This window comes from Homo sapiens, chromosome 16 (assembly GCF_000001405.40).
Source record: "Homo sapiens chromosome 16, GRCh38.p14 Primary Assembly".
NCBI lineage: Eukaryota > Metazoa > Chordata > Mammalia > Primates > Hominidae > Homo > Homo sapiens.
Genome location: NC_000016.10, coordinates 48,454,092 through 48,470,273, shown reverse-complemented (window position 1 = coordinate 48,470,273; position 16,182 = coordinate 48,454,092). Strand labels below are relative to the sequence as shown.

Below are 16,182 nucleotides of genomic sequence, written 5' to 3'. Positions count from 1 at the left end.
AACAATACATGGGTCAAAGAATGTATCTCAGATAAATTTAAAAATATTGGGAACACAGTGAAAATAAAAAGACAACTTATCAAAATTTGTGGGATGCAACAAAAGCTGTGCTTAGGGGGAAATGTATAGCATCAGATGCATGTATTAGAAAATAGGCCAGGCACAGTGGCTCATGCCTGGAATCCCAGGACTTTGGGAGGCCGAGACAGGAGGATTGCTTACCCCATAAGTTCAAGACCAGCTTGGACAATATAGTGAGACTTTATCTCTACAAAAAAAAAAAAAATTAGCCAGGTGTGGTGGCACACATCTGTAATCTTAGCTACTTGGGAGGCTGAGGCAGAAGAATCACTTGAGTGTGGGAGGTTGAGGCAGCAGCGAGCCCTGATCTCACCACTGCACTCCTGTTTAGGTGACAGAGTAAGATCCTGTCAAAAAAAAAAAAAAGAAAAGAAAAGAAAAGAAGTAAGAGCTAAAATCAATAATCTAAACTTCTACCTTCAGAAACTAGAAATATAAGAGCAAATTAAATTCACACTAAGCAGGAAAAAAAGAAATAATAAAAACTGAAGCAGAAACCAATGACATTGCAAACAGGAACTCAATAGAGAAAAATCAATGAAACCAAGAGGTGGTTTTTTGCAAGATTAATAAAACATAAAACAGACTAGGAAAAAAAGAGGATACAAATCACTAATATCAGAAATGTAAAGGGGATGTCACTACAGCTCCTGTGAATTTTTAAAAGATAATAAGGAAATACTATGAACAACCCTATTCCCACAAATTTTATAACCTAGATGAATTGGATCAATTCACTGAAGGACACAACCTGCCTAAATTCACATAGGAAGAAACAGACAATCTGCATAGGTCTATACCTATTGAACAAGTTGAATTAATAATTAATAAATTCCAAAACAGAAAACACCAGGCCCACATGTATTTACTGGTGAATTCTACCAAACATTTAAGGAAGAAATTAGACTGATCTCTACAATCTCCTTTAGAAGACAGAAGCGGAGGGAATCATTTCTAACTCATTCTATGAGAGTAGCATTGCCCTAATACCAAAATTAGATAATGACATTACAAAAAAGATAACTACAGGCCTGGCGCAGAGCCTCACATCTGTCATCCCAGCACTTTGGGAGGCTGAGGCAGGTGGATCACCTGAGATCAGGAGTTCAAGACCAGCCTGGCCAACATGGTGAAGCCCTGTCTCTACTAAAAATACAAAAATTAGCCAGTCATGGTGGTGCACACCTGTAATCCCAGCTACTCGGGAGGTTGAGGCAGGAGAATCGCTTGAACCCAGGAGGTGGAGGTTGCAGTGAGCCACGATCGTACCACTGCACTCCAGCTTGGGTGACAAGTGAGACTGTCAAAAAAAAAAAAATACAAAAACAGCACCAATTAAAGTGACTACATAAGTAAATATAAAAGAGAGTATACATGTATTTTTGTTTGTAACCCTTTTTTTCTATCCAATTTAGAAGACAACCACATAATTATAAATTATATATTTATTTATATATTGTATAAATTTATATATATTTATATATATAAATTTATATATATTTATATATATAAATTTATATGTATATATAAATTATAAATTATAAATCAATAATTATAAAACTATGTTAATTGGCTTGTAATGTATAAAGATGTAACATGTATGACAATACTAGCACAAAGGAGTGGGGAGGAAATGAAGCCATACCAAAGCAATGTTTTCGTGTAAGAGTGATATAAAGTTGTTAGTGATCCAAACTAGATTGTTTTTAAATTAAGATGCTAATTGTAATCTTCAGGGCTACCACTAAGAAATATGTTAAAAACAAAACAAAATAGTAAAGAAAAGAACAAAGGAATTAAAATAGTACACTATAAAAATCTTTTCAATGCAAAGGCAGCAGTAACTGCAAAATAGTGGAACAAAAAGACATAAAATATATTAAAAATAAATAACAAAACAGTAGGTGTCAATCTTACCTTATTAGTAATTACATTAAATATAAATAGATTTAAATACTGTGATCAAAAGGCAGAATGGGCATAATGGATTTTTTAAAAAATGATTCAACTCTATGCTGTATACAAGAGCACTCTTTAGATTCAAAGATGCAATAAGTTAAAAGTAAAGGGATAGGCTGGGTGCGGTGGCTCACACCTATAATCCTAGCACTTTGGGAGGCAGAGGTGGGTGGATCACTTGACGTTAGGAGTTCAAGACCAGCCTGGCCAACATTGTGAAACCCCATCTCTACTAAAAGTACAAAAATTAGGGGGCATGGTGGCACACACCTGTAATTCCAGCTACTCAGGAGGCTGAGACATGAGAATCACTTAAACCTGGGAAGTGGAGGTTGCAGTGAGCCAAGATGGTGCCACTGCACTCCAGCCTGGGTGACAGAGTGAGACTCTGTCTCAAAAATAAATAAATAAATAAATAAATAAATAAATAAAGGAATAGAAAAAGGTATACCATGCAAACATCAGCCAAAGCACAGCTAGTATGGCTATACTAATATCAAAAGAAATAAGCTTTAAGGCAAAAATTTGTACTAGAGACAAACAATAGCATTTTATAATGATGCAAAAGTTTAATCCATCGGGAAAATATAACAATTACAAGCATACATGCACCTAACAACAGAACCCCAAACATAAGCTATAGGACAATAGTAGCATAAAGAGAAGGATGAAGTAAATGGAGTTAAAATGTTCTAAGGACCTTGAAAATATAAAAGTACTAATCTATATGAGATTCCAATAAGTCAAAGATACATGTTATAATCTCTAGGGCAACCCGTTAAAGAAGAACAAAATAAGGTATAACTACTAAGCTAAAAATGGGAGGAAAATTTATTGAAAATATTGATTAATCCAAGAGAAAAGAAGAAAAAAATAAAAATCAACATTAAATCATTTAGCTATAGAGAAAAGAGAATAAAATCTCAATATATCATAGCTATGTTGAGTATAAATGGACAAAATATGTAAATTAGAAGATAAAGATTGTCAATCTAGATTTTGAAAACTATCTGGTTACAAAAGATGATCTTGGCCAGGTGGGGTGGCTCATGCCTGCAATCCCAGCACTTTGGGAGGCCGAGGTAGGCGGGTCACTTGAGGCCAGGAGTTTGAGACCAGCCTGGCCAACATGGCAAAATCTCATCTCTACTAAAAATACAAAAAATAGCCAGGCATGGTGGTGCGCACCTGTAACCCCAGCTACTCAGGAGGCTGAGGCAGGAGAATCGCTTGAAGCTAGGAGGCAGAGGTTCCAGTGAGCTGAGATCATGCCACTGCACTCCAGCCTGGCTGACAGAGCAAGATTCTGTCTCAAAAAATAAAAAATAAAAAGAACACTGAACTCAACTAAATTATATATATTCTTTTCAAATGCACATGGAAAAATTTAAAAAGTGAATGTATGCTTGGCCATAAAGCAAGTCTCAACAAATTTCAGAGGATTAAAATCACATAGAGCATGTATCTCTGACTACAATAGAAATAAGATAAATATGAATTACAGAAAGAAAACCAGAAAAACTCCCCAAAAGTTTACACATTAAGCAATACACTTCACAATGACCCATGGGTCAAAAAAAATTACAACAAAAATTAGAAAACTTGTTGAAGAGAATTATAATATAAAAATGGCATGTCAATACTTCTGGGCTGCTGCTTAGGCATGTTTAGAGAAAATTTTATAGCTTCAAATACATATGTAAGAAGAAAAGTACGAAAAATCAGTTATCCATATTTCCAGATAATAGTTAGAAAATAGTAAATTAAGGCCGGGCGCGGTGGCTCACGCCTGTAATCCCAGCACTTTGGGAGGCCGAGGCGGGCGGATCACGAGGTCAGGAGATCGAGACCATCCCGGCTAAAACGGTGAAACCCCGTCTCTACTAAAAATACAAAAAATTAGCCGGGCGTAGTGGCGGGCGCCTGTAGTCCCAGCTACTTGGGAGGCTGAGGCAGGAGAATGGCGTGAACCCGGGAGGCGGAGCTTGCAGTGAGCCGAGATCCCGCCACTGCACTCCAGCCTGGGCGACAGAGCGAGACTCCGTCTCAAAAAAAAAAAAAAAAAAAAAAAAAGAAAATAGTAAATTAAGTCTGGGCATGGTGGCTCACGCCTGTAATCCCACCACTTTGGTAGGCCGAGGTGGGTCGGATCACAAAGTCAGGAGTTCGAGATCAGCCTAGCCAACATAGTGAAACCCCATCTCTACTAAAAATACAAAAAATTATCCAGGCATGGTGGCACGCACCTGTAATTCTAGCTACTCAGGAGGTTGAAGCAGGAAAATTGCTTGAACCCGGGAGGCAGAGGTTGCAGTGAACCGAGATCACACCATTGCACTCCAGCCTGGGTGACAAGAGTGAAACTCTGTCTCAAAAAATATAAAAAAACCGGGGGTGTTCCAAGATGGCCGAATAGAAACAGCTCCAGTCTACAGCTCCCAGTGGAGCGACACAGAAGATGGGTGATTTCTGCATTTCCAACTGAGCTTTCAAGAGAGTAGTGGTTCTCCCAGCACAGAGTTTGAGATCTGAGAATGAACAGACTGCCTCCTCAAGTGGGTCCCTGACCCCCGAGTAGCCTAACTGGGAGACACCCCCCAGTAGGGGCAGACTGACACCTCACACAGACGGGTACCCCTCTGAGACGAAGCTTCCAGAGGAATGATCAGGCAGCAAGATTTGCTGTTCAGCAACATTCACTGTTCTGCAGCCTCTGCTGCTGATACCCAGGCAAGCAGGGTCTGGAGTGGACCTCCAGCAAACACCAACAGACCTGCAGCTGAGGGGTCCTGACTGTTAGAAGGAAAACTAACAAACAGAAAGGACATCCACACCAAAACCCCATCTGTATGTCACCATCATCAAAGACCAAAGGTAGATAAAACCACAAAGATGGGGAAAAAACAGAGCAGAAAAGCTGAAAATTCTAAAAATCAGAGCACCTCTCCCCCCTCCAAAGGAATGCAGCTCCTCGCCAGCAATGGAACAAAGCTGGACAGAGAATGACTTTGACGAGTTGAGAGAAGAAGGCTTCAGACGATCAAATTTCTCCAAGCTAAAGGAGGAAATTCGAACCCAACGCAAAGAAGCTAAAACCCTTGAAAAAAGATTAGACGAATGGCTAACTAGAATAACCAGTGTAGAGAAGTCCTCAAATGACCTGATGGAGCTGAAAACCATGGCACGAGAAATACGTGACAAATGCACAAGCTTCAGTAGCCAATTCCATCAGCTGGAAGAAAGGATATCAGTGATGGAAGATCAAATGAATGAAATGAAGTGAGAAGAGAAGTTTAGAGAAAAAAGAGTAAAAAGAAATGAATAAAGCCTCCAAGAAATATGGGACTATGTGAAAAGACCAAATCTACGTCTGATTGGTGTACCTGAAAGTGATGGGGAGAATGGAACCAAGTTGGGAAACACTATTCGGGATATAATCCAGGAGAACTTCCCCAACCTAGCAAGGCAGGCCAACATTCAAATTCAGGAAATACAGAGAATGCCACAAAGATACTCCTCGAGAAGAGCAACTCCAAGGCACATAATTGTCAGATTCACCAAAGTTGAAATGAAGTAAAAAATGTTAAGGGCAGCCAGAGAGAAAGGTCGGGTTACCCACAAAGGGAAACCCATCAGACTAACAGTGGATCTCTCGGCAGAAACTCTACAAGTCAGAAGAGAGTGGGGACAATATTCAACATTCTTAAAGAACAGAATTTTCAACCCATAATTTTATATCCAGCCAAACTAAGCTTCATAAGTGAAGGAGAAATAAAATCCTTTACAGACAAGCAAATGCTGAGAGATTTTGTCACCACCAGGCCTTCCCTAAAAGAGCTCCTGAAGGAAGCACTAAACATGGAAAGGAACAACTTGTACCAGACACTGTAAAAACATGCCAAATTGTAAAGACCATTGACGCTAGGAAGAAACTGCATCAACTAATGAGCAAAATAACCAGTGAACATCATAATGACAGGATGAAATTCACACATAATAATATTAACCTTAAATGTAAATGGGCTAAATGATCCAATTAAAAGACACAGACTGGCAAATTGGATAAAGAGTCAAGACCCATCAGTGTGCTGTATTCAGGAGACCCATCTCACGTGCACACACACTCATAGGCTCAAAATAAAGGGATGGAGGAAGATCTACCAAGCAAATGGAAAACAAAAAAAGGCAGGGGTTGCAATCCTAGTCTCTGATAAAACACACTTTAAACCAACAAAGATCAAAAGAGACAAAGAAGGCCATTACATAACGGTAAAGGGATCAATTCAACATGAAGAGATAACTCTCTTAAATATATGTGCGCCCAATACAGGAGCATCCAGATTCATAAAGCAAGTCCTTAGAGATCTACAAAGAGACTTAGACTCCCACACAATAATAGTGGGAGATTTTAACACTCCACTGTCAACATTAGACAGATCAACGAGACAGAAAGTTAACAAGGATATCCAGGAATTGAACTCAGCTCTGCACCAAGTGAACCTAATAGACATCTACAGAATCCTCCACCCCAAATCAACAGAATATACATTCTTCTCAGCACCACATGCACTTATTCCAAAATTGACCACATAGTTGGAAGTAAAGCACTCCTCAGCAAATGTAAAAGAACACCTTGTTTGTATATTTGTAAATTTATAAATATATTTATAATTTTATTATATATTTAAAATTATATATAATATATAAATATTATATACATATATTTTTTTGAGACAGAGTCTCATTCTGTCATCCAGGCTGGAGTGCAGTGGCACAATCTCAGCTCACTGCAACCTCTGCCTTTTGGGTTCAAGCGATTCTCCTGCCTCAGCTTCCCAAGTAGCTGGGACTACAGGCATGTGCCACCACGCCCAGCTAATTTTTTGTATTTTGGTAGAGACGGGCTTCACTATGTTGGCGAGGCTAATCTCAAACTCCAGACCTCAGGTGATCTGCCTGGCTTGGCCTCCCAAAGTTCTGGGATTACAGGCATGAGTCACCATGCCCAGCCACCTTCTTAAAAGTTTGCTAGATTTTCCATTAATGTTCCTTTCTGACCCAGGATCCAGTCCAAGATCCCATCTAGCATTTAATTGTCATGTCTACTTACTTTCCTCCAATCTGGAACAGTTCCTCAGTCTTTCTTTGTCTTTATGACCTAAACACTTTTTGAAGAGTACTTTGTTTTGTGAAATATCTCAGTGCAAATTTCTCTGATGTTTTCCCATAGCTAGATTGAGATTATGCAGTTTTGTCAAGAATATTACAAAGTAATGCTGTCCCAGAAGAAAACTTTCTTAATTTGATAAAGAATCTATTCAAGAGGATGGCTAAAATTTTTTAAAGTGGAAGATAGCAAGTGTTGGTGAGAATGTGGAGAAATTCAAACCCTCATGTATTTCTGGTAGGAATGTAAAATGGTTCAGGTTGTTTTTTAACAGTTTGGTGGTTCCTCAAAAAGTTAAACATAGAATTATCATATGACCCAGCAAGTCCACCTCTAGATACACACCTAAAAGAATTTAAAATGAGCTCAAAAAAAAAATCCTCATACAGTAGTCTGCCCTTATCTGCAGGGGATACTTTCCAAGGTTTCCAGTGGATGCCTCAAACCTCGGATTGTACCAAATCCCATACACACTACAGGTTTTTTTTTTGACTTCTCCCTCCACCCCCATAATATCTTACTGTGTTGTGCTCACCCTTCTACTTCTTATGATGTGAAAGGCTAAAATGCCTACGTGATGAAATGAGGAGAGGTGAATGACAGGCATTGCGATGTATCATTAGGCTGCTATTGACCTTCTGACTATGTGTGAGGAGGATCATATGATTTGGGCGATCCTGGATAATCAAGCCGTGATGATGTTGATGGTTGGATGTCAGGAGCAAACAAGATGATGTTGATAACTAATGGGCAGGTAGTAATATAGCGTGGATAAGCTGAACAAAGGAATGATTCATATCCCGGATGGGACAGAGCCAGACAGCACAAGATTTCATTATCCTACTCAGAACAGCACACAATTTAAAAATTATGAATTGTTGGTTGAGCCTAGTGGCTCATGCCTGTAATCCCAGCACACTGGGAGGCTGAGGCGGGCGGATGCCCTGAGGTCGAGAGTTCGAGACCAGCCTGACCAACATGGTAAAACCCCGTCTCTACTAAAAATATATTTAAAAAAAATTAGCTGGGCATGGTGGCAGACGCCTGTAATCCCAGCTACTCTGGAGGCTGAGGCACAAGAATCACTTGAACCTGGGAGGCAGAGGTTGCAGTCAGCTATCATGCCACTGCACTCCAGCCTGGATGACAAAGTAAGACTCTGTCTCTCAAAAAAACAAAACTTATGAATTGTTTATTTCTGGAATTTTTAATTTAATATTTTTGGACGGTGGGTGATTGAAACAATGGAAAACAAAACCATAGATGACGGGAGGGAGAAACTGCTGTACATGAGTGTTCATAGCGACACTATTTGCAGTGCCAAAAGACAAAACCAATCCAATGTCCAGCAACATCTGAATGGATAAACAAATGTGGTACATACACACGGTGGAATATTATTCTGCCATAAAAAGGAATGAAGTACTGATTTGTGCTACGACATGAGTGAATCTTGAAAACAGTATGCTAAGTAAGAGAAGTCAGACACAAAAGACCAGAGATGTATGAGTTTACTTATATGAAATATCCAGAACACGTAAATCCATAGAAACAGAATGCAGATTGGTGGTGGCCAGAGGTGGGAGGTTTGGGGGAATGGGGAGTAATTGCTGAATAGGAACAGAGTTTATTTTGGAATGACAGAAATGTTTTGGACCAGACAGAGGTAGTGACTGCACAGTGTTGTGAATAACCAAGTGCCCTAAATGTTATGCTAGGTGAATTTCACTTCAAATTTTAAAATTCTACAGCAAACATCATACTTAATGGTGAAATATTGAAAGCATTCCACTGAGTTTAGAACAATGATGACCATTGTCACCACTTCTTTTTAACATGGTAGTAGAGGTCTTAGCCAGTGAAACAATTACAAACAAGAAAAAGAGGAAGAAAAAGAAAGGAGGAGGAGGAAGAGAAGATGTACAGGGGGAGGGAGAGGATAAATAAAATGTCTGAGAATCAGTAAGTTAGCCAGGTGTGATAGCATGCCTCTGTAGTCTCAGCTACTTGGGGAGCTGAGGCAGGAGGATCTCTTGAACCTGGGAGGTCAAGGCTGCAGTGAGCCAAGATGGCGCCACTACACTCCAGCCTGGGTGACAAAGTGAGACTCTGCCTCAAAAATATTTTAAATAAATAAAATAATAAATAAATAAATAAATGAAAATAAAAATTTTAAAAAAGAATCAGTAAGGGAGAAATTAAAATTGCTATAATACACAAATGACATTATTATAGACCTGGAAAGTCTAAACAAATCTACAGATAAACTGCTACCATGACTGGGTACAGTGGCCCATGCCTGTAATCCCAGCACTTTAGGAGGCTGAGGTGGGCGAATCATTTGAGGTCAGGAGTTCAAGACCAGCCTGGCCAACATGGTGAAACCCCGTCTCTACTAAAAATACAAAAATTATCCAGGCATGGTGGTGTGTGCCTATAATCCCAGCTACTCGGGAGGCTGAGACACGAGAATGGCTTGAACCCAGGAGGCAGAGGTTGCAGTGAGCAGAGATCACACCACTGCACTCCAGCCTCGGTGACAGAGTGAGACGCTGTCTCCAAAAAAAAACCTGCTACCATTAATAAATGAATTTAACAAGTCAGTAGATACAAAGTCAAAATTTTTAAAAATTCATTGTATTTCTATCTAATTAGAAATTGAAAAAAATTAAATATCATATACAGTAGCATCAAGGACATAAATATACAGGGATGAACGAAACAAAACTGTACAGAGCCTCTACACAAAAAATTATACAACTTTATGGAGGATTATAAAAGATCGTAAAAAATGAAAGGATATAATTTCAGGATATGTTCAGGATCGAAATACTCAGTATTGGCTAGGGGCAGTGGCTCACACCTGTAATCCCAGCAGTTTGGGAAGCTGAAGCGGGTAGATCACCTGAGGCCAGGAGTTTAATACTAGTCTGGCCAACATGGTGAAACCCCATCTCTACCAAAAATACAAAAATTAGTCGGGCGTAGTGGCGGGCACCTGCAATCCCGACTACTCAGGAGGCTGAGGTAGGAGAATCGCTTGAACCCAGCAGGTAGAGGTTGCAGTGAGACAGGGTTGTACCACTGCACTCCAGCCTGGGCAACAGAATGAGACTCTGTTTCAGAAAAAAGAAAGAAAAGAAATAGTATTGTTAAGATATCACTTCTCCCTAACTTGATCTATAGATTCAAAGCAATCACAATTAAAATCCCAGCGGATTTTTGTGGTGGCAGGGGTATAGGGGAAAGGGAATGAGGGAGGTTGAAATGGACAAACCAATTCTGGAATTTATGTGAAAATACAAAGGGCCAAGAATAGTTAGGAAAGTCTTGAAAAATAAAAACAAAGTTGAAGGATTTGGACCATAGTAGTTTCTTCTTATCTGTGAGGGTTATGTTTCAAGACCCCTGGTGGATGCCTGAAATCACAGATAATAGCAAAACCTATATATACTATGGTTTTTTTTTTCTGTTATATACCTATAATAAAATTGACTTACAAATTGGTCCCATTAAGAGATTAACAACAAAAACTAATAATAAAATAGAACAATTATAACAATATATAGGAATGAAAGTTATGCGAATGTGGTCTCTCCTTCTCAAAATATATCATTGTTCTGTACCTTGAGTAACATAAACCATGGAAAGAGGAACTGTAGACAAGGGGGTACTACTGGGCAATAACTAAAATAGCCCAGTATTAATGCAAAGACAGGCAAACAGGCCAATGTGAAATAACAGAGTGTCCAGAAACAGCACACACATATACAGACAAGACAAAAAATAACACGTTAGCACAGCGGGGAAGAGGTGGGTCTTTTCTATTAGTGGTGCTGGGTCAGCTGAATAACCATATAGGAGGAAAAAGAGTGAATCTTGACTCTTATCTCATACCATACACAAAAATCAAATCCAGATAGGCGCTGAATGTGAAAGGTGAAACAATAAAGCTTTTAGAAACTGGCGTAGAAAAATATATTTATGTCCTTATTTTAGGCAAAATGTATTAAGCAGGACACGAAGAAGCACAAATCATAAAAGAAAAGTAGATAAATTGGACTATATTAAAGAGTATCTGTTTATCAAACAAACTATTAAGAGAGTAAAAAGGAAAGCTATTGGAATGGGAAAAGATTTCTTGCATCTGGGTATGGTGGCTCATGCCTATCATCCCAACACTTTCAGAGGCCAAGGCAGAGGGATCGCTTGAGCCCAGGAGTTTAAGACCAGCCTGGACAGCATAGCAAGACCCTTTCTCTACAAATAGATAAATAAATATTTTTAAAAATATTTTTGCAATACATATAACTGACAAAGATCTAATATCCAAAATGCATAAAGAACTGCAAATTCATAAGAAAAAGATTAACAACTCAACAGAAAAAAAGCAAATGTCTAGAACACAAAGGATGTTCCAGACAAATGGCCAAGAAACTTGTTTAAAAAGTGTTAATCCTCATTAGTCATCAGTGAATCACAAGTTAAAACCACAGTGAGATATCCACCCACCAGTATACTCAAAATTGACATGACACGTCACTTGCTGGCAAATATGTGGTGGAACTGAAACTCCCAAACACCATTGGTAGAAATGTAATCTGGTACAACTTTGGAAAATGGTTTGGCACTATCAAAGCCAAATGTAAGTGGCCAGGCACAGTGGCTCACGCCTGTAATCCTAGCACTTTGGGAGGCCAAGATGGGTGGATCACTTGAGGTCAGGAGTTTGAGACCAGCCTGGCTAACATGGTGAAACCCCGTCCTACTAAAAATACAAAAATTAGCTGGGCGTGGTGGCGGGTGCCTGTAGTCCCAGCTACTCTGCAGGCTGAGGCAGGAGAATCGCTTGAACCCAGGAGGCAGAGGTTGCAATGAGCCAGGATTGTGCCACTGCACTCCAGCCTGGGCGACAGAGTGAGATTCTGTCTCAAAAAAGAAAAAAAACAAAAGGCTAAATGTAAATAAACCCTTTAACCAGCTAGGTATATACCTAATAAAACTGGCACATTTACACACGAAAAGGCATGTGTGAGAATATCTACAGTGACATCGTTTTTCATAGACAAAGATGAAAACAATCCAAATAGTCATAAACAGAAAAATAGATCAACAATGTGTGTATATTCGTACAATAAAATACTATGCAGAAAGGAATATGAGGGACAGCTAGTACACCCAGCTGCATTTCATAATGTTGAGTGAAAGAAGCTAAACATAAAAGAGGCCATGCTTTATGGTTCCACTGATGTAAAGTTCAAACAAAATCAAACTCATTTCTGGTGTCGGAAGTCAGAAGAGTGGTCCCCTGAGAAGAAAAGTGGCTGAGGGTGCAAGAGACCAGCTTCTGGGCTCCCACAAATTTGTGCATCTGACTGGGCATCACATGAGGGTGCTCGCTTTGAGAAAACTCATCAAGTTATGCCTTCTCTATGTTTATGTTCAATAAATAAGCGTGGGGTTTTTTGTTGCTTGTTTTTGTTTTTGTTTTTTTTGTACAGATGGGGTCTCACTAAGTTGCCCAGGCTGCTTTTGAACCCCTGGACTCAAGCAATCCTCTCACCTTGGCCTTCCAAAGTGCTGAGATTACAGGTGTGAGCCACTGCACCCGGCCTAAATAAGCTTTTTTTTAATGAATGTAGCTTATACACACCAGTCTTTGGTAAATCTAAAAATACACTTATAGATGCACAAATAACCAAAAAAAATCTTACCTTTGTCCCTTTCTTACACAGGCTGGGGTCCTAGCCCTGCTTACAAATCTCCACCATCTTCTCAACACTGTGCTAGAGTTTTCAGCAGAAACCTCGTGCATATTTACAAAATAGTCTGTCAAACATTTCAACTCCTACAAATTCCAGAAAACCAGTTGTATAGAGTCAAAATCAAAATCCAAGTTAGGGCTCAGCCAGAAGACTCTGTTACTCAAAAATAAGATCACATACCCCGACTTGTTTTTTGAATTTTTTCATGGACTTTTCCCCTTATCATCAGCATGTTTAAATCCACCGTATCTCCTTTAACAGCTATGTAATAATCTATTTTATAACTTTACAGTATTTTACTTAACAATCCCCTTTTAAAGGACATTTAGGTTGTTTCTAGCTTTTTGCTTTTATAAAAATGTTCCAGTGACTATTCAAGCACATACATCATTCTCATTTGATGATTTATCCTTTCATTTGAATAAGTTATCTGGGGCCAGGCACAATGGCTCACACCTGTAATCCCAGCACTTTGGGAGGGCGATGCAGGCAATCACCTGAGGTCAGAAGTTCGAGACCAGCCTGACCAACATGGTGAAACCCTGCCTCTACTAAAAATACAAAAATTAGCTGAGCATGGTGGCAGGCGCCTGTGGTCCCAGCTACACAGGAGGCTGAGGCAGAAGAATCACTTGAACCCGGGAGACAGAGGTTACAGTGTGCCCAGATTGAACCACTGCACTCTAGCCTGGGCAACAGAGGGAGACTCCACTGAAAAAAAAAAAAGTTATTTGAAGTTGAAATATTAGGCCAAGTGGCTGGCTGTGTGTAGTGGTTCACACCTGTAATCCCAAACCTTTTGGAGGCTGAGGCAGGAAGATCACTTGAGGCTAGGAGTTTGAGGGCAACCTGGGCAATATAGCAAGACCCTATATCTACAAAAGATTTTTAAAAATTAGCCAGGTGTGGTGGTGCACACCTGTAATCTCAGCCCTTTGGGAGGCTAAGAGAGGAGGATTGCTTGAGCCCAGGAATTTGAGGGTACAGTGAGCCATAACGGCACCACTGCCCTCCAGCCTGAGTGATGGAGCAAGACCCCGTCTGAAAAAAATTTAAAAAAGAAAGATTTAAAAAAGAAAAACTCACAACCACCCTATAAGGCAGACACAACTGTACTTTACAGAGGAGAAACTGAAATTCAGAGCATTAAGTGATTTGCCCAAAATCCCCAAAGCTGGTAAGTGGCAGGGCCAGCCTGGTCCACAGGGGGCTTAACCCTGCTGTACTCTGTGACCTTACTTCACTTTTGTCGAGGGTCCGCTGATCCCTGAGCCCTGCTGTGTTAGCAGTTACCATGGAAGAACTTTCTCCAAAGAGAGAGGTGGTTCTACCCCGGCTTTTGGGAAAAGCACCCACATGTGCCTGCAGGGAAGGAAAGGGCTTCTGAAGGGCTATCCCTCCCCGGGGGGCTTGGCTGGGGCCCTGAACGGGGCACCAACTGTGCTCTGGTCTTCAGAGCTGAGCCAGGGACGCCCAGGATGGGTTCTCCTCTCCACCAAGCAGGGGATGTGTGCACTGCAGCTTCCTCCAGGCTCTGTCTCCACACACCTTCTGGGCACCAGGGGACTCTGAGCACAGCCTCAGCCCCAGCCTGCACCTCTGCCAACTGGGAGCTGGGGGCTCTTGGCTGTTGCGTCCATCAAGACTCTCAAGGGTCATCACAGCTTCCAAACAGAGCCCCTTTTTCCCCCAGTCCTCCTCCAGGAAGCCCCCTGGAGCCCCAGCCCACAGACAGTGCCCCTGGGATGTGCTGGCCATCCCCTCCTCCAGCCCATCGTTTTCCCTGCAGGTCTGTCTTCAGGACCTGTCTTCCTTTTCTCCTTAATCCACACCTCCTTCTCCTTCTCAAGCAGGAACTAGACCGTTTTCACCTTGGAGGTCCCCACAGTCCCCAGCCAAGAGCTGGGCTCACAGAACGTGCTTAATAAACTGGGCACAGTGGCTCACGCCTGTATTCCCAGCACTTTGGGAGGCTGAGGCGGAGGATTGCTTGAGCCCAGGAGTTCAGCAACAGCCTGGGCAACATAGTGAGACCCTGTCTCTATAAAAAATTTACAAAATAAAATTAGCTGTACATGGTGGTGTGCATCTGTGGTCCCAGCTACTTTGGGAGACTGAGAACTATAATGGGAGGATCGCTTGAGACCAGGAAGTCAAGACTGCAGTGAGCTGTGACCACACCACTGCACTTCCACTTGGGCAACAAAGCAAGATCCTGTCTCTTAAAACACACACACACACACACACACACACACACACACACACCCCACATCATTTTGTAAAGGTCAAAATATAAAAATAAAAAAGAAAGTGCTTAATAAATACTGGTGATGGGCTGTACCTGGTGGCTCATGCTTATAATCCCAGCACTTTGGGAGGCCAAGGCGGGCGGATCACTTGAAGTCAGGAGTTCCAGACCAGCCTGGCCAATATGGTGAAACCCCGTCTCTACTGAAAAATACAAAAATTAGCCAGACATGGTGGCGGGTGCCTGTAATCCCAGCTACTCAGGAGGCTGAGGTAAGAGGATCACGAATCAGGGAGGCGGAGGTTGCAGTGAGCCGAGATCGCACCACAGCACTCCAGCCTGGGCATCGCAGCAAGACTCTGTCTCAAAAAAAAAAAAAAATAGTAATTAATTAAAAAAATAAATATTGGTGATGAATGGGCACATAAATAGCTCCATCAAAGAATTTCCAAATGAACACGCTTACGTGCGTGTGACTCCTTTATGAAAGGAGCATGGCTGGAGAATGGCTTGAATGCTTTGGGTTATGGTGGAAACGGAAAACCTGCCTTTGGGATTGAGCTCTGCCCTGACCAGTTTTGGTCCCTGGCTTGGGATGAATCACAAATAACCTTTCCAAACCTGGGATTCCTCATGTGTGAAAATGGACGTGATGGAGCAGTTCCGCACTCCTCACAGGTTTGAGGGAAGGGAAGGAGGTGAAGGCCACGGCGAGTGGCAGCGTGAAGAGTGGTCCTAATTTCACTTTCCATCCACTGTGCAGTGTAGTGATAAATACCTGGGAGCAAGAGAGGGTCTTCCTCAGGGCCCCCAAGCCCATGCAGTACACGGCAGTTCACTTCTCCTCCACTGGCCCAAGAGGAAAGCTGTGTTTTCAGCCTTTATTACATACATCTATGTATAGAGATATAGATATCTATTTTTTGAGACAGGGTCTCACTCTGTTGCCCAAGCTAGAGTGA

General features: G+C 41.1%; 1 annotated feature.

The window, feature by feature from the left end:
- Positions 14,003 to 14,502: an enhancer, noted in NCBI's record as "H3K4me1 hESC enhancer chr16:48489683-48490182 (GRCh37/hg19 assembly coordinates)". NCBI's record gives its function as "activates a minimal SCP1, AML or CMV promoter by ChIP-STARR-seq in naive H9 embryonic stem cells {active_cell/tissue: H9 hESC(naive)}" and the evidence as "EXISTENCE:reporter gene assay evidence [ECO:0000049][PMID:30033119]".